Source organism: Homo sapiens, chromosome 12, assembly GCF_000001405.40.
Source record: "Homo sapiens chromosome 12, GRCh38.p14 Primary Assembly".
In the NCBI taxonomy this organism is placed as follows: domain Eukaryota; kingdom Metazoa; phylum Chordata; class Mammalia; order Primates; family Hominidae; genus Homo; species Homo sapiens.
The window spans coordinates 94,472,039-94,490,834 of NC_000012.12; the positions used below are offsets into that span (position 1 = coordinate 94,472,039).

General features: G+C 39.4%; 1 long non-coding RNA gene across 2 annotated transcripts in view; it reads left to right on the plus strand.

The window, feature by feature from the left end:
• The first annotated feature begins 278 nt into the window (after window positions 1-278).
• Window positions 279-18,796, plus strand: part of LOC102724960 (uncharacterized) — a 66,649-nt gene continuing 48,131 nt past the window's right edge. The window contains exons 1-3 of one of the 2 annotated variants that reach the window (XR_429176.3): window positions 279-397; window positions 1,479-1,573; window positions 12,157-12,190. This is a non-coding gene — a long non-coding RNA (uncharacterized LOC102724960). Of the gene's footprint in view, window positions 398-1,478; window positions 1,574-12,156; window positions 12,191-18,796 lie in introns of those variants that run through there. The other variant, XR_945224.3, reaches the window with a different exon arrangement.

The window sequence follows — 18,796 nt, forward strand, 5'->3', positions numbered from 1 at the left end:
ATATCTAAGGTTTTTTGCCCCCTTGAGGGGTGATATCTCCCCATTAAAAATAACATGTTCCAACTAATGAGTTCTTTGAGGGGAAGGATCATGTCCTGTTTACCATTGTATGCCTTGTGCTTAATATAATGCTTGGCACACAGTAGGCAATCAGTAAATAAATGTATTAGATGAATATTTATTGAATTAAAGTGAAAATGGTCTCTGCTGTAAACTCATCAAACAACTAAACAGCTAAAATTCTTGAATCTTTTTTAGACAATACTGTCTACTACTTATACTCCACAGTACCTCCGCATTTGAAGATTGTCTTCCTGAGACTATATCCATGTGACTTGATGGAATCTTGGAAAGCACCTTGATCACAAAAGTAATAAATTCAAAGCCAAGTCCAAGGGTGAGTTACTTATACAGATGGCTAATTTTATCTACCATATACTGATTTTTTTTCCTAGCATCACTTTCAGAAGGTGATCATTTCCTAAATTTTTCTCTGAATTGAGGCTTGCAGCCTCTTTGATACTTACAACTCACTATTCAAAACTTATCAGTTCCAGTTGACGTGCAAGAATTGGATTAGGGAATGAGTAGAAGGTGACGGCACTATAGGAAAGGAGAAAATAAATAGAGGAAGTCATTAAACTTCTCTGTTCCTTAATTTTTCTTTATCTGTAAGACCTCTTCTAGCTCTAAAATTTGTGATCTTGATTTATTCTCTGAGTGAGTGGTTCTCAATAGAAACATTTTATTAAAGAAATCAGTGGAGGGTGTCATCAGTTGCCTCAAGATTGGAAGGACAGTGCTGCCAGCCTTTGTGGGAGAGGCCAGGGATGCTAGACATCCTACTGTAAATGGGACTTTGGTCAGTTCAGGTCCACAGAGAAGCAGACACCAAGACAGACATAGAAGAGATGGATTGGGGGAAATGGCTGTAGGGAAGAGGAAGCAGTTAGCAGGCAGAGTTTGAGACTGGGATGCAGATCTGACACCCATGTCAATGTCATGAGAAGAGGGAGGTGGATTCAGTAGGAACAGCCTTAGATTATAATAACAGCTCTAGGAATGTCTTGGCCAGGCCAATAGGGAGCCACAGAGCAAAGACTGACCATTTGAGGGGGTTCCAATTTGACCAGATGTGGCCTGGCTCTATTACCCCTGCTGTGCTCAGCCATTGAGGAAGTTTGGGTAGGGTAAGGCCAAATCATAAATGCCATGATGAATCTCCAAGGAATAATACTAGAAGACTGTCAGCTAGCTACAGTCCTCACAGCAGGTTCTCTCTCTCTCTCTCTTTCTCTCTCTCTCCATCTCTCTCTCTTTCTCTTTAAAGCAAAACAAAAATGATACTTTACTGAGATACTTTTGCTTGTAAAGCAGGAGAACAAGATGATATACATAAGTCATAACATGTCAAGACATGCCAAGGTGATGATTTTGATGTTTTCTTTATCTTTTTCTTTTATCTTTTTTTAATCCAGGTTAAAGTTGGACACAAAATGAGAAGTTTGGGGAGATAAGGCTTGGGAGTTGAGATCCTGCATGGAAAACAAGATGAATTAACTTCCCAGGCTGCGTAAGTGTTCACATTTTGTATCGAATTATAGCAGATTTGTTTCTTCTTTTGACCTCAAAAACCGTTTGGAAACCTTAGGGAAACTTCATGGCATCTTTTCCATTTTGCTGATGGTTGTCAGGAGGGATAGCACCAGACCTTAACAGAGGTGGCTTCACCTTGCCTAGAGCATCAATAATCTTATCACAGATTCACCCCTGTTCTTTCTCGTTTAGACTCTGAGGGTCCCACTTCATTGTCAATTTCATTTGCAGTCACAGGTTTAGCATAACAGCTAACCTTATTTTTAGTTGATGATCTGGAACCCTTCACCTGACTTACAGGCAAACTCTTGTGTATTTTTTGTTAGAAAATCTTCATATCGCCATTAGCAAATGCTGTACTAGTTTGATTACTTGGCCATTAGCTGCTTCTCAATAGGCCAGGTTGGGAGGCATTTTCTTGGCATTTTTGTTTTGTATCTTGAGTTTTGGAGGTGAATCACTGCCATTTTTAATGGATGCTGGAGGCATTTTGTCAAAGGATTCCTTTTTGGTTCCTTCATCTTTGTCATCTGCTTCATCTTCATCAGTATTATTTCCTGATATTTCTGTAACTTTAGAAGCATTTTCATCTATATTGTCTTCTTCATGGTTTCCTCAACTCTATTTTTCCTTTCTAGTCCTTCCAGCAGGTTCTCTGTTGAACCTCTCATGTTCTGGGAGTAGCTTTTCTGATTCCTCTGGACCTCACTTCTTGAGGGAAAACTTAGACAAAGGGGGTTATTGGGACAAACCATAATCCCTGTCACTCAGTTGGTTTCAAAGCTGCAACTGCTACTTATCTTCCTCTTCCATACCAATTTCAAGTTCTCCTCTCCTTCAGCAGTCACTTCCACAGATCTTAGTGGTGTAACCTGGGTGTGACCCAAATCCTCATTCCTGATGAGAAATATATATTTATTGGCAATTACACATACCTCATGTGATTGTTGTACATGTCCTTCCACAGTTACAAGTAAGTCTCAAAAGACTCCCAAGTGGATCACCTAGGGGCTACATATTTTTCTCTGCCCATTGTGTAAAAGAAGCCCTTCTGCTTCCTGTTGATCTAGGTCAGTTACCCCTGCCAAGATGGGGATTCCTCTTCCTGCCTGCTGGCACCTTGACACAAAGGGTCCAAAATGCCCAAACAGTTGCCATAGCTTGTAGTTCAGTGGGACCTTCCTTGCATTTCCTGGCAAGAATTCACCCCACTTTGGGGACCAGGACTTCTAAACCTTCAAAACCCAGAGTTGCAGGAACAGAAAGCACAAAGTTCCCCGATGAGTCGTTTGGGTGGATGGTAAGTAGGGCCACTTCTTCTTCCTCTGCCTTTTTCCTGGACCCATGTATTCTTCCTATTAGGGACAGTGCCTTTAGAGCTCCCTGATTTAGTATATATACTGATCTTGAAAAGTGGCACTCTGTTCTTGCAGAATATTGCCTCCAAATCGGCACTCCAGCTGCACCTTCAGTAGGTTGCCCAGTGCTCTATCAGGCTGGCTGCTCCAGATGGTGCAGTATGTGATAAAACCAGTAGATCCCTTAGTCATTAGTTCATACTCATACCACCTTTACTATGAAATGGATCCCCTGTTTGGATCCTGTGTTGAGTTGGATACTATACCTGTGGATCAGGCCTTCTTTAAGCCTCTAGATAGTGGTATGGGCTGTGGCTCTGAAGCCAAGAAAGGCAAACCCATACCCAGAATAAATATGTATCCCTGTAAGGATAAACTGCTGGCCACTCCAGAATGGAAAGGGCACAGTGTTGTTGACTTGCCACCAAGTGGCTGGTTTATCTTCTCAAGTAATAATGCCATATCAGGGACTCAGGGTTGGTCTCTGTTGCTGGCAAATTAGACCTTCAGAGACAAGTAGGTATATTGGCCTTGGTAAGTAGGAATTCATGCTCTTGGGCTCATGTGTAGCCTTCATCTCTGCACTCACAGTAGGCAGACTTACATGTTGCCTACATGTGAACCAAAGCAGTATTCCTAGGTATGGAATTCATTGCTTCCAGAACCCAAAAAGGCCCACCAGGCATTGGGCTTCATTATAGTAGGAGATGCAAGATGCAGAAATTTGCCTTTTATCCTGGAGGGGATGTCTCCACAGGCCACTGACTACTGGACCTTGAAAAAACTTTACGGAAGTCACAAATTCTTGAATCTTCTTAAAAGTGTATCTCCCACTCTCTGGATACATGTCTTACCAAGACCTCTAGTATACAAGCCACATCTTGCTCATCATGCTCAGTCTGAATATTGTTGATATAACATATCAATGTGATGTTACACACTGGATGTCCAGACAGTCCAGATCTCTTCTGACTGTATTACAATAGAGAGTAGAAGAGTTAACATGGTCCTTGGACAAAGCTGGAAATAAATATTGTCTCCTCCACATGAATGTGAATTATTTCTTATCCTTATTTCTGATTGGAATATAAAATAATGCATCCATCAAATCAGTGTCTACAAACTATGTGACTGAGGCCTTATTAATCTGCCTTAGCAATTATACCATGTCCAGCATAGTTTCAGTTGAGAGTACTACTTGTTTAAACTTGCTGTGGTAGCCTGCATTCACTCTGTAGGATACAAACGTGGTACTAATCTCCTGTGGGACACAATGTCATTTATATTCTATCTTGGCTAGGGTGGGGGACAGTTTCAAAGGCTTTCAGTTGGTCTTCTCATTATGATAGCTCTTTAACAGCTCAAGGACCCAGTACTTCCACTGCCAATGATGTCTGTTGTAATTATATACTCAGGGACAAAGAAATACCTAGCAGATGGGTCTTCAGACCCAGTGAATTCACTGTGTGCAGACTTTAGCTAAGACTTTATTACTTATTCTCATAATTTTCCACACACAGGGGAAGCCATGATAACACTTTGGGTCTCCAGTTACCAAAGTCGACTTAGTCCCTAGGCCCAAAGCTCCTCTGAAATGACTGGGCACTCCCGTTTCCCAGTGTAAATGCCCTACCCAAGTGTATGCCCTAACTCCTTTTGGAGAATGATAGGAGGAATCATTAAAATATCTACTTGCCACAATGTTGCAGGGTCCTCCTAGGGACCTAGCTACCTCCTCAGTCAGTGGGCTCTAGATCTGAAAATTTGCTTAAGTTCAGGATGAACAACAAAGACATTTATTGAAATGACCTCCCTTAGCCTCCTGCCCCTCCATTCTTGCCTTCTGCTTGTACATGTTAAGCAGCACTCTTAATCTCTTAATATCTGCCTATTTTGCCCCTAAAGTAATGATGATCTGTCGCTGGACCCATCAACTCTATGACTATGTCCAGTTTTGAATAAGCTCCAAGAGAGGCCTCTCATTCTCACACTTGGGCTCTGTTTGTAAACAGCCTTCAAAGTTTCTCATTCTCTCTCCGTGGGGCATCAATACAACTTAGTAATAACCACTCTGCTCACTAAGATCTTTTAAATGCCCAAATCATTATACAGGCAAGGATATTCCCTACACTGAGATTTTTTCCCAGCTCACAACCAGTGAAAACTTTAGCAATTGAACTTCTACCTTGTGTCAAGTACTATCTGTGCCCCAAATTCCATTCAGAATGAGTTGGCCTTACCAGCTGGGTGGTAAGTGATGGACTCTCTAAACCCTGTCTTACTATTTGCTTTCTGAGGTCACTCCCAGTAGTAGCTGTCAGTTTGAGTCTTCCATGAAGCAGACACCAAGACAGAATTAGATTTATTGGGGAAAATGTCTGTGAAGGATAAAAAGCAAGAGGGAGTAGGCAGAAAGAGCCTCCAGAGTGACACCTGTGAATGGAGAAAAGGAAGAAAAGAAGAATAGAAATTCATGGCATAATAGGTGTTAAAAAAAGACTTCTGGACTGTTAAAAAAAAAAAATAGGAAGAGCCTTAGGCTGTAATGCAGTTCTGTGAAAATAACCAAGCCTACAGAGAGTCATCAGAACAAAGATAACCCATTAGAGGAGTCCCACATTGGGCAGGAATGATCTGCCTTCACCAGACTCAGTCACTGGCTGAAAGCAGCGGAGGAAGAGCCAGAGGAAGAGCGTGTACTCAGCATGAATCCTGCAATGACTCCAAGGTGTGGCAGTTAAGTGGCTGTCCCTAACTACAGTGTTTACCGCAGGTTCTCGAAGAGCTGACCAGTACACTCCTATAGCTGCCACAGCAACGCTCACATAACAAAGAATTGTACTCTATACCTCATGATTTTCATATATCTAGGCAGATACTCATATATGTTTTTTTAAAAACAAAACACAAAAACTTTTACCATTATCTGGAATTATCCAGGTCTAAAACCTATTTTAGATACAAACAAAAGGCCAGGTGTGGTGGCTCACACCTGTAATCGCCGCACTTTGGGAGGCCAAGGCAGGCGGATCTCAAGGTCAAGAGATTGAGACCATCCTGGCCAACGTAGGGAAACCCCATCTCTACTAAAAATACAAAAATTAGCTGGGTGTGGTGGTGTACGCCTGTAGTCCCAGCTACTAGGGAGGCTGAGGCAAGAGAATTGCTGGAACCTGGGAAGAGGAGCTTGCAGTGAGCCGAGATCGCTCCACTGCACTCCAGCCTGTCGGACAGAGCGACACTCCGTCTCAAAAAAATAAACAAAAATGATTTTGTACAGTTTTAATATCTACCGAATTTTTAGTAATGCAAATTCCATGTAAATCAAGAGTAAAATGAAGTTCATGTTATTTGAACTTTACCAATTGTTTTTGCTATTTTGAAAAATTAAATCACGGGCAATGACAATGTCCTGATATTTGAATCACCAATACAGTATGCCTGTAGCTATATTTGTGCCTGTCTCATGTATGTATATGAATATACCTCCTTAAACTATTTCAAAGTGGAAATATAAAGAAAAATGACAGTTTTCCTTTGAATGTTGTCTTCTTTAAAATCCAGCCTTACTAATTTCAAGTATGTAGAATTTTCACACATTGATGGTAGAAATACAAAACTGTACATTTTCCATAGGAAGAATTTGGCAATAGCTAGCAAAATTAAAAAGTTCATTTACTTTTTACCCAAAGTGCATCTTCTAGGAATCTAACCCAAAGAAAATATAACAAAATATGAATATGCAAGGATATGATGGCAATATTTGTAATAGTATAAGACATCTTTCAGTCCAAATGTTATCAGCAGAGAATTTGGTTGAATACACTGTAATAGATTTGCACAGTGGAGTACTATGCCACTATAAGAAGGACTGAGTAATATCTCTAAATATTGTTATTAAACAATCCTAGGACATAAGTTAAAAACTTTAAAAGCAAGGTACTGAACAGTGGTATACAGTAACTTTTATGTAAGAAAGGAAGGGAAGGCCAGGCATGGTGGCTCATGCCTGTAATCCCAGCACTTTGGAAGGCCGAGGTGGGCGGATCATGAGGTCAAGAGATCAAGACCATCCTGGCCAACATGGTGAAACCTTGTCTCTACTAAAAATACAAAAATTAGCTGGGCATGGTGGCGTGCGCCCATAGTCCCAGCTACTCAGGAGGCTGAGGCAGAAGAATCGCTTGAACCTGGTAGGCGGAGGTTGCGGTGAGCCAAGATCGCTCCACTGCACTCCAGCCTGGTGGCAGAGCGAGACTCTGTCTCAAAAAAAAAAAAGGAAAAAACTACAGAGAAATCTTGAATTTTAGTTATCTTTTTATTAATATACTGATACTGTTATGAAAATATTTTTATTGTATATATGGGTAAAGCAAATAAATGATTGTGTTAGTATCATTAGGAACCAAAAATTTTACTGTAAGAGGAAAGATATGCAAGTATAAAATCAAAGACCTAAAATTCCTATAGTCTTATATTTAAATTGGAAGCATTAGTATGTTCTCAAGATTTAATTTTCTCTTTAAAAATATTTATTTCAGTCAGGTGTGGTGGTTCACGCCTATAATCCCAGCACTCTAGGAGGCCAAGGCCGGTGAATCACTTGAGGTCAGGAGTTCGAGACCAGCCTGGCCAACATGGTGAAACCCCATCTCTACTAAAAATACAAAAATTAGCTGGGCGTGGTGGCAGGCACCTGTAATCCCAGCTACTCAGGAGGCTGAGTCAGGAGAATCGCTTGAACCTGGAAGGCAGGGGTTGCAGTGAACTGAGATCACGCCACTGCACTCCAGTCTGGGCAACAGAGTGAGACTCTGTCTCAGAAAAAGAAAAAAGAAAAAAAATATGTATTTCATAGCTCTTTCCACTGAAAAGGACTAGGAATAATAGCCTTATAGCAATGATCTCCCCTACCACTCAGGTTATGGTCTCTTAAAAACCATTTCCCAGTAAAAGGAATCAAGTCTCCTTTGAGAAATAGTTGACTCCAGGGTTGGTGTGGGAAATGTATAAGATGAGCTTGAAATAGCTTTCATAACCAAAAGTAAGAAGGCATCACGCACTGTTAAGGTTGTTTCAGAAGAACTCAGGAGCCAACTTGAAGAAACTCCATCTAGTCAAACGTGAGACAATTTAAGCATCATAATGATTACTAAAGTGAATTGAAAATATCAAATATATTAAAATCCATAGTGCATGACATTCAAAAGTAAACATTTAGAGGATGTTTCAAATTCATTATTTGAAGTCTAGTTAACAAAGGAATTAAATTGAGCATTTGCTCTGCCTTTTCTGTACAAACTGTATTTCCTATACAAATACATGAAAAAAAGTTCTTTATATTTCAGGTAATAAAATCAGGAAATGATAAAAATTAGAATATCATCATTTTTTCATCCCTTAATGAAAAAAATGGACCTAGGCAATGCTCATCAGTGGCTGCTAGGACCATTAGATAAAGGGCTGATGGGAAACTTTTATATAGGCTAGATTATGCTTTCAATACTTAAACCCACTAACTAAACTTAACTGAAAAAGAGAAACAGCCCAGATATTGATATGCTTTCTGCTATGATATAATGGGATGGGCATAGCTTCATCTATGAAATATTCCTTCCAAAAAAGCCAAACCTGATAGATCAAGCCTCTAGATCTAACAACCAGATTACAGCAAATACAGAAAAAAGAGGAACATGACAAAATGACACACAGGGACACAATTAGCAAAATCCTGAATGTGAGATACAATGTGACAAATGCTTCTTCAACAAATAAATGGCAGGAATTTTTTTAAAAAGGAATCATTCTAGATTGAGGGATATTTAAGAGGCATATCAACCTAATGCAATATATAGACCTTGTTTGAACTGATGCAAGTAAATCAACTGCAAAAAGACATTTGTGAAAATCTGAGAAAAATTTTAAATTCCATATATTTGATGAGATTAAATAATTATAGTTTTAAGCTTTTCTTAGGTGACATAGTAGTATGTGGTTATATTTTTTAAAGTTAAAGTAATTCTTTATGGATAAAATATATCTGGGTACTATCTGGGATTTGCTTTCAAATAATCTGAGAAGGTAGGAATGTTATCTAGATCAGTAGCTCTGAGACCTTAGCGGACCTACAGATTAGCTGGAGAGATTGTTAAAACATAGACTCCTGAACCCTACCTCAGAGATTCTGATTCAGTGGTCTGGAGTAAGGTCAATGAATTTGCATTTCTAACCATCTTCCAGGTAACACTAATGCTGCTGATCCAGGGACCACATTTTAGGTAGCATTGGTAAGAATGAAAAAGATTAGCTATTGATAATTGATAATCGTTGAAGCTGGATATTGTGGAAACATGTAGTTCATTATACTACTCTCTCTAGTATATGTTTGAAATTTTTATAATAAATTATTAAATGTATATTCCAATATCTGACAATTATGTCTGTCAACGTTCCCACGCATTTATATACTACCATATATATTTTTGTTATAAATTAATCTCATTTATCCTTTATAATATAGTCAGGGCATTACATTGATTTTTTAAATTTATATATGTAGTCAGGTTGCACTCTCTGTATATTTCATTTGTGGATGATAAAGAGTTATAAAAATATTTATTTTAAAATAGAAATGTTGAGTCTGGTAAAGGTGAGAACTGCTAATTTAAGACAATCTGGAGAAATAAAAGCTATGTAGAAAAGCAAGCCCTGCTGGCTGAAAAGGAGGCTTCAGTGGTAATCAAAGCAGAAAGACCTCACCAGACCTGCCAGGATTTCCACTTTCCTAAAAAAGAGGGTTAACTAATGGGAAGTATTCTTGAATTCTGCTAGGACATCTTCTTGTTCACCATTTGGCACTTTCTGACTATTTAAGATGGGAAAATGATCCTGAAAACATTCATCTGTCTCTACCCAGCAGCAGCCTAGTTATTAGCACTCCAGGAACTTGTCAGAGAGCTCCGTTTTCAATAGAGAGCTGTCCAGTCCCAGAAAAAAACATAGTTGAGAACTGTTTCAGAAAGATAGCCTAAGGCAGTGGCTGCACTTTGGAATCATCAGGGGAAATTTTAAAAATCCTGATGTCTGGATCCTACCCTCAGAGATTCTGACTTAATTGTGAAGAATAATTAGGCATTAGAGATTCTAAACTCCCCAGGTGTGGCCAGGTGGGGGCGGTTCATGCTTGTAATCCCAGCACTTTGGGAAGCCAGGGTAGTGGAATCACTTGAACCAAGGAGTTCAAGACCAGCCTGGACAACACAGTGAGACCTGTGTCTCTACAGAAAAAAATAAAAATAAAAATTAGCCAGGCATAGTGGCACACACCTATAGTCCAAGCTACCCCAGAGGCTGAGGTGGGAGGATCATTTGAGCCTAGGAAGTTGAGGCTGCAATGAGCTGTGATCATGCCACTGCACTCCAGCCTCGGTGACAAAATGAGACCCTGTCTCCAAAACAAACAAACAAACAAAAAATATAAACTTCCCAGCTGATTCTAATCTGCAACCAAAACAGAACCATTGCTCTAAGTTTGAAGTGGTGGTTCTCAAACTTAGATGGAATCAGAACCACCTGGAGGGTCATAAAACACAGACCACTGGCCTCACCTACAGTTTCTGATTTAGTAGGTCTACAGTGGACCCAACAATTTGTATACTTAACAAGTTCCTAGGTGGTGCTGATGCTGCTGGTCTGGAGACCACAGTTCAAGAACATAAAGCTTCTGCTGTACACCTTAAGTACAATGGTTGTCTCAAGGAAAAGCACTTGTGTAATTGCCAGTGGTTGAACTAGTCACTTTATTGAATACCATCTTTATTTGAGAGAATGCTGGCAAACAGTGTTTATTCAGACTTGGGTATTTGGAAGACATTTTCTCAAAAATAAAGTCAGCTAGTCACTGCAAGGAAAACAACTGAGAAAATTTTTTGGCCAGTGACAAAATCTAAGCTTTCAAATGAAAATTAGAAATTTTCAACATTTAAAGACTTTTGTGTTAAGATTGGTAGTGATATTAATGAATGTGATTTTGGATACAGTGTAACGAAATGTGTCAACATTTGGAGTATCTGGATAACTCAGTGAACCAGTATTTTTCAAATGAATGTCATGTTATAACATTACACATGAGTGACAAAGCCATTCAAAGGGCAAGTTAGACAAATTTATTTTAATGTAATAGTATTATCATTTCAGATTCCATATTACAACTAACCTTTATTTTTAATTTTTTAAAATTGCTTTATTTATTTTTGAGACAAGGTATCATTCTGTCACCCAGGCTAGAGGGCAGTGGCGTCGTGATCATGGCCCACTGAAGCCTCAAATTCCTAGGCTCAAGCAATCCTCCTGCCTCAGCCTCCTGAGTAACTGGGACTAACAGGCACATGCCACCTGACCAGGCTAATTTTTTAAATTATTTTTTTCGTAGAGACAGCTTCTTGGCTATGTTGCCCAGGCTGGCCTCGAACTCCTGCCTCAGCCTCCCAAGTAGCTGAGATTACTGGCATGAGCCACCACTAACTGCGTCATGGGCCGCAACGAACCTTTAAAAACTAGCACTTGTTTGTATCCTGAGACTTTGCTGAAGTTGCTTATCAGCTTAAGGAGATTTTGGGCTGAGACAATGGGGTTTTCTAGATATACAATCATGTCATCTACAAACAGGGACAATTTGACGTCCTCTTTTCCTAACTGAATACTCTTTATTTCCTTCTCCTGCCTAATTGCCCTGGCCAGAACTTCCAACACTATGTTGAATAGGAGTGGTGAGAGAGGGCATCCCTGTCTTGTGCCAGTTTTCAAAGGGAATGCTTCCAGTTTTTGCCCATTCAGTATGATATTGGCTGTGGGTTTGTCATAGATAGCTCTTATTATTTTGAGATACATCCCATCAATACCTAATTTATTGAGAGTTTTTAGCATGAAGGTTGTTGAATTTTGTCAAAGGCCTTTTCTGCATCTATTGAGATAATCATGTGGTTTTTGTTTTTGGTTCTGTTTATATGCTGGATTACATTTATTGATTTGTGTATATTGAACCAGCCTTGCATCCCAGGGATGAAGCCCACTTGATCATGGTGGATAAGCTTTTTGATGTGCTGCTGGATTCGGTTTGCCAGTATTTTATTGAGGATTTTTGCATCGATGTTCATCAAGGATATTGGTCTAAAATTCTCTTTTTTGGTTGTGTCTCTTCCAGGCTTTGGTATCAGGATGATGCTGGCCTCATAAAATGAGTTAGGGAAGATTCCCTCTTTTTCTACTGATTGGAATAGTTTCAGAAGGAATGGTACCAGTTCCTCCATGTACCTCTGGTAGAATTCGGCTGTGAATCCATCTGGTCCTGGACTCTTTTTGCTTGGTAAGCTATTGATTATTGCCACAATTTCAGCTCCTGTTATTGGTCTATTCAGAGATTCAACTTCTTCCTGGTTTAGTCTTGGGAGAGTGTATGTGTCGAGGAATTTATCCATTTCTTCTAGATTTTCTAATTTATTTGCGTAGAGGTGTTTGTAGTATTCTCTGATGGTAGTTTGTATTTCTGTGGGATCGGTGTTGATATCCCCTTTATCATTTTTTATTGCATCTATTTGATTCTTCTAATGTACAAAAATCAAAGCATTCTTATACACCAATAACAGACAAACAGAGAACCAAATCATGAGTGAACTCTCATTCACAATTGCTTCAAAGAGAATAAAATACTTAGGAATCCAACTTACAAGGGACGTGAAGGACCTCTTCAAGGAGAACTACAAACCACTGCTCAATGAAATAAAAGAGGATACAAACAAATGGAAGAACATTCCATGCTCATGGGTAGGAAGAATCAGTATCGTGAAAATGGCCATACTGCCCAAGGTAATTTATAGATTCAATGCCATCCCCATCAAGCTACCAATGACTTTCTTCACAGAATTGGAAAAAACTACTTTAAAGTTCATATGGAACCAAAAAAGAGCCCGCATCGCCAAGTCAATCCTAAGCCAAAAGAACAAAGCTGGAGGCATCACACTACCTGACTTCAAACTATACTACAAGGCTACAGTAACCAAAACAGCATGGTACTGGTACCAAAACAGACATATAGATCAATGGAACAGAACAGAGCCCTCAGAAATAACGCCACATATCTATGACTATCTGATCTTTGACAAACCTGAGAAAAACAAGCAATGGGGAAAGGATTCCCTATTTAATAAATGGTGCTGGTAAAACTGGCTAGCCATATGTAGAAAGCTGAAACTGGATCCCTTCCTTACACCTTATACAAAAATTAATTCAAGATGGATTAAAGACTTAAATATTAGACCTAAAACCATAAAAACCCTAGAAGAAAACCTAGGCATTACCATTCAGGACATAGGCATGGGCAAGGACTTCATGTCTAAAACACCAAAAGCAATGGCAACAAAAGCCAAAATTGACAAATGGGATCTAATTAAACTAAAGAGCTTCTGCACAGCAAAAGAAACTACCATCAGAGTGAACAGGCAACCTACAACATGGGAGAAAATTTTCGCAACCTACTTATCTGACAAAGGGCTAATATCCAGAATCTACAATGAACTCAAACAAATTTACAAGAAAAAAACAAACAACCCCATCAAAAAGTGGGCAAAGAATATGAACAGACACTTCTCAAAAGAAGACCTTTATGCAGCCAAAAGACACATGAAAAAAATGCTCATCATCACTGGCCATCAGAGAAATGCAAATCAAAACCACAGTGAGATACCATCTCACACCAGTTAGAATGGCAATCATTAAAAAGTCAGGAAACAACAGGTGCTGGAGAGGATGTGGAGAAATAGGAACACTTTTACGTTGTTGGTGGGACTGTAAACTAGTTCAACCATTGTGGAAGTCAGTGTGGCGATTCCTCAGGGATCTAGAACTAGAAATACCATTTGACCCAGCCATCCCATTACTGGGTATATACCCAAAGGACTATAAATCATGCTGCTATAAAGACACATGCACACGTATGTTTATTGCAGCACTATTCACAATAGCAAAGACTTGGAACCAACCCAAATGTCCAACAATGATAGACTGGATTAAGAAAATGTGGCACATATACACCATGGAATACTATGCAGCCATAAAGAATGATGAGTTCATGTCCTTTGTAGGGACATGGATGAAATTGGAAATCATCATTCTTAGTAAACTATCACAAGGACAAAAAACCGAACACCGCATGTTCTCACTTATGGATGGGAATTGAACAATGAGAACACATGGACACAGGAAGGGGAACATCACACTCTGGGGACTGTTGTGGGGTGGGGGGAGGGGGGAGGGATAGCATTAGGAGATATACCTAACGCTAAATGACGAGTTAATGGGTGCAGCACACCAGCATGGCACATATATACATATGTAACTAACCGGCACATTGTGCACATGTACCCTAAAACTTAAACTATAATAATAATAAATAAAAAAGAAGCTCAAAAAAAAAAAAAAAAAACTAGCACTTGTGGAATTCTGGTATAGTACAAAGAATATCCACAGTTATCTGAAAAGGCTATTAAAATACTCCCACTTTTCCAACTACATATCTGTGTGGGGCCAGATTTTCTCCATATAATTAAGCCAAAACAACATCATAACAGACTGCAGAATCAGATGTAAGAATCAAGTTGTCTTCTATTAAATCAGACATTTAAGAAATTTGAAAAAAAAGTGACTATCACTCCTCTCAATAATTTTTTTTGTTTGTTTTGGCAAATAGTTAATATTCATAAAGTATTATTTAGGTTAACATGTAGTAAATGTATTATTGTTATTTTTAAAGTGAATTAATATTTTTTCATTCTCAGTTTTAATTTCCAATAATGAAAATACTGCTAGTTATAGGCCATGTACACCTAATTTCATTGGGGTCCTCAATAATTTTTAAAAGCATAAAAGGGGCCGGGTGCGGTGGCTCACACCTGTAATCCCAGCACTTTGGGAGGCTGAGGTGGGAGGATCACGAGGTCAGCAAATCAAGACCATCCTGGCTAACACAGTGAAGCCTCATCTCTACTAAAAAAAACAGAAAATTAGCCGGGCGTGGTGGCGGGCGCCTGTAGTCCCAGCTACTTAGGAGGCTGAGACAGGAGAACAGCGTGAACCCGGACCCAGGAGGCAGAGCTTGCAGTGAGCCGAGAGATGGCAGCACTGCACTCCAGCCTGGGCGACAGAGTGGTTTTTTATTTTTTTATTTTTTTTTGAGACGGAGTCTTGCTCTGTCACTCAGGCTGGAGTGCAGCAGCACGATCTTGGCTCTCTGCAACCTCTGCCTCCCAGGTTCATGTGATTCTTGTGCCACAGCCTCCCAAGTAGCTGGGATTGCAGGCGTGCACCACCACACCTGGCTACTTTCTGTATTTTTAGTAGAGACAGGGTTTCACCATGTTGACCAGGCTGGTCTCCAACTCCTGGCCCTACCTGATCCACCCGCCTCAGCCTCACAAACTGCTGGGATTACAGGCATGAGCCACCACGCCCAGCCTTCTAGAGTTCTAGGAGTGTTCTATCTCTTGGTTTTGGTGGTGGCTATGTGGATGTTAGTTTTGCAGTTATTCCTTAAAATTTAGATATAAATTTTATGTACTTTTGTGAATGTTATGTTTCATAAGATTTTTCAAAAATTGCGATTAAGGAAGTTGCCTCTTGGTATAGCAGAAAGAATTGGGTTTTGGAAATAAAAGATGCAAGAGATGCTTATATATTTTGGCTACTAATAAAGAAAGGTTTTCTGTATTTGAAAAAAAAAGATTCATGATTCAAGTTCTCTGTGTTAACCTACTGTGCGGTTTGGGGGCCAAAAAAATAGTTGTAATACTACCTTCTGTAAAGCATAAACTGTAAAGTGGTATGCAAATGTTGGCCACTATTATTTTTTTCTTTTCTTTTCTTATTTATTTATTTATTTTGAGACAGAGTCTCACTCTGTTGCCCAGGCTGGAGTGCCAAGGTGCGATATCAGCTCACCGCAACCTCCACCTCCCAGGTTCAAGTGATTCTCCTGCCTCAGCCTCCCAAGTAGCTGGGATTACAGGTGCCTACCACCATGCCCAGCTAATTTTTGTATTTTTAGTAGAGACAGGGTTTCACCATGTTAGCCAGGCGGGTCTCGAACCCTCGACCTCAGGTGATCTGCCCTCCTTTTGGCCTCCAAAAGTGCTGGGATTACAGGTGTGAGCCACCACGCCCAGCTGACCACTGCTATTATTGCACAGGAACAACATATATATCTGCTTAAAAGTTTCTCTCCTAATTAACCTGTTTGTGACCTTTAAGCATACTTCATAGAATTCCTGAAACCATTATGTTTTTCTTTGTTTTTTGTTTTTTGTTTTTTTACTTCCAAAATACTTGGGGTTAAATTTCTTACATGGTGTTAATAACTCTGTTTTGTTATACATTACTTTTCTGTTATACATTACTTCTCCGAATAGTATTTAATCATCTGATTTATTTTCTTTAAACTGCCTCAAGTTATACGTGTCTTAATATTTATGACCTCAAATACTTTGTAGAAAAAGAAGAAATGGGTAAGTTATATATAAACAGTTAAGGATTCTGACAGGATGGGAGAAAACGTGGCCCTTACATGTCTTCTCTCTAAAGGTTGTGAGGCACATTGTGGCAGTCTCACTTCCCCCTTTCTGCAGCACATCACCCTCAGATAAATAAATAAAGCAGAGGACTTTCATTTCCAGCCAGTTGTCATAGCAACTTTTGACTATCCAGAGAAGAAGGAATTCTCATATCTTAAGCCCTGACTCCAGAAGAGCTAAAAAGACACAAAGACTAAAAGGAACATTAAAGAATGATTTGCAAGATGTGATAAAATTGAATATCTGTTATTCAGAACTTTTCCAGTATATGTATGTGCTTTTTCCCCTGACATATTTATATTTCTTCTTATAGAATTCAGAACTCAACAGCAATAGACTAATAGCTACCATTTATCACTTATTACATGCCAGATGCATAGAACATTACATATATTGTTTTTTAATACACCCAACAACACTGTCGGTGTTATACTATTTTTATCCACATTTTACAGATGAGGAGCTTGAGTTTAGATAGATGGAGCAGTTTACTCAAAGTCACAGGATAAGTGCTCATCCTCTCAGCCTTCAACACAGTTGATCACTTCTTAAAACATTCTCCACTTTTCTGCATTTTTCTCCTGCTTTATTGGCCAAACACTTTTCTGACTCTCTTGGTTCTGTCTGATCTGTAAATGATAGAATGCCTAGAACTTACACTCTTCTCTATCCAGTTAATATCTTCCTTTCCTATGGCTTTAAATGTTTTCTATATGTTGACAATCCCCACATGGATATCTCCTTCCCAGATATTGCACATGCATTTCAGATTCTGGTATGCAAGTGTTCACTGACACTTAGATATCTAATAGGTATTTTAAAGGTAATAAATCTAAAACAGTTCCTGTCTGTATATCTTACCTATCTCAGTAAATGTCAGCACTGTCTAACCCAGATGCTTAAGCCAAAATCCCTAAGAGTCATCCTTGATTTATTTTCCCCTCACACCCCCACTACCCTGTCCCAGGACTGCTAATGTATAAATAAGTAATTTCAGAATTATCCACAAAATCTATCTTAAGTCTACTTCATTTCACCTCCATTGCCACCACTTTAATGAAGGCCACCATCTTTTCCTGGACTCCTGTCTGAGTCCATTTTGTGCTGCTATAACAGAATACCACAGACTGGTTAATTTATAATGAACAGAAATGTATTGGCTCACAATTTTGGAGGCTGGGAATTCCAAGATCAAGAGGCAAACATCTGGCAAGGGCCTTCTTGCTGTGTCATACCATGACAGAAGAGCAAAGAGAGGGCAAGAGAGAGAGTAAAAGAGGGTCAAGTTCCCCCTTTTATAATGAACCTTCTCCCTTGAAAATGGCATGAATCCATTCTCTCCACCTTCCTGGCCTAATCACATTTCACTGGGCCCATCTCCTAACACTGTTGCATTGGGGATTAAGTTTTCAACACATGTTTTTGGGAGGACACATTCAAACCATAGCAACTCCTAACCAGGAACTTTCTAACCCATATTCCTGCTTCCATTCTCCAAAGAGCAGCCAGAATGAGCTTTTGAGACCATAAATCAGATCTTGCTAGCGTTAAAGGCTTCAATGGCTTCCATTGCTCTTAGAGTATGATTTGAACTTCTAACTGTAGTGTAAAAAGCTATGCATGAGCTAGTTAATGCCTTTTGCTCCAGGATACTACAGTTGTCCCCCTCCATCATTCTGCATTAGCCACAGTGTCCTCCTTTCTTTCCCTCAAACACGTCAAGCTTTTTTTTTTTTTTTTTTTTTGACTCAGATTTTGCAGTATGAACTACCTTAAACTTCTCTTAGCTTATTATCCTAGCCGGCTATTTTTCCTCCTTCAGGTTTCAGCTCAAATATCTCCTTAGAGATTACCTTATCTAAAGTTGCCTCCTGTTGGGGCTCTCAGTTAATCACATCATTTTTCTTTTCTTTTCTTTTTTTTCTTAGAGACATGTCTTAATGCTTCGCTGCATTGCCCAGGCTGGACTTGAACTCCTGGGCTCAAGCAATCCTCCCGCCTCACCCTCCCAAGTAACTGGGACTACACATTTTTATTTTCTTAATAGCACTTATCAATATCAGAAATCTTTACTAGTGTAAGTTCCACAGGGTCAGGGAAACTTGTCTTTTTCATTGCTGTATTTTCCAAACTTAGGAGTATATAGGAGGTGCTCAATGAATAATCCTTGAAGGAAGGAATGAAGGAAAAGGGAAAAAGTGAGAAATTCAGTGCTGGAATTAC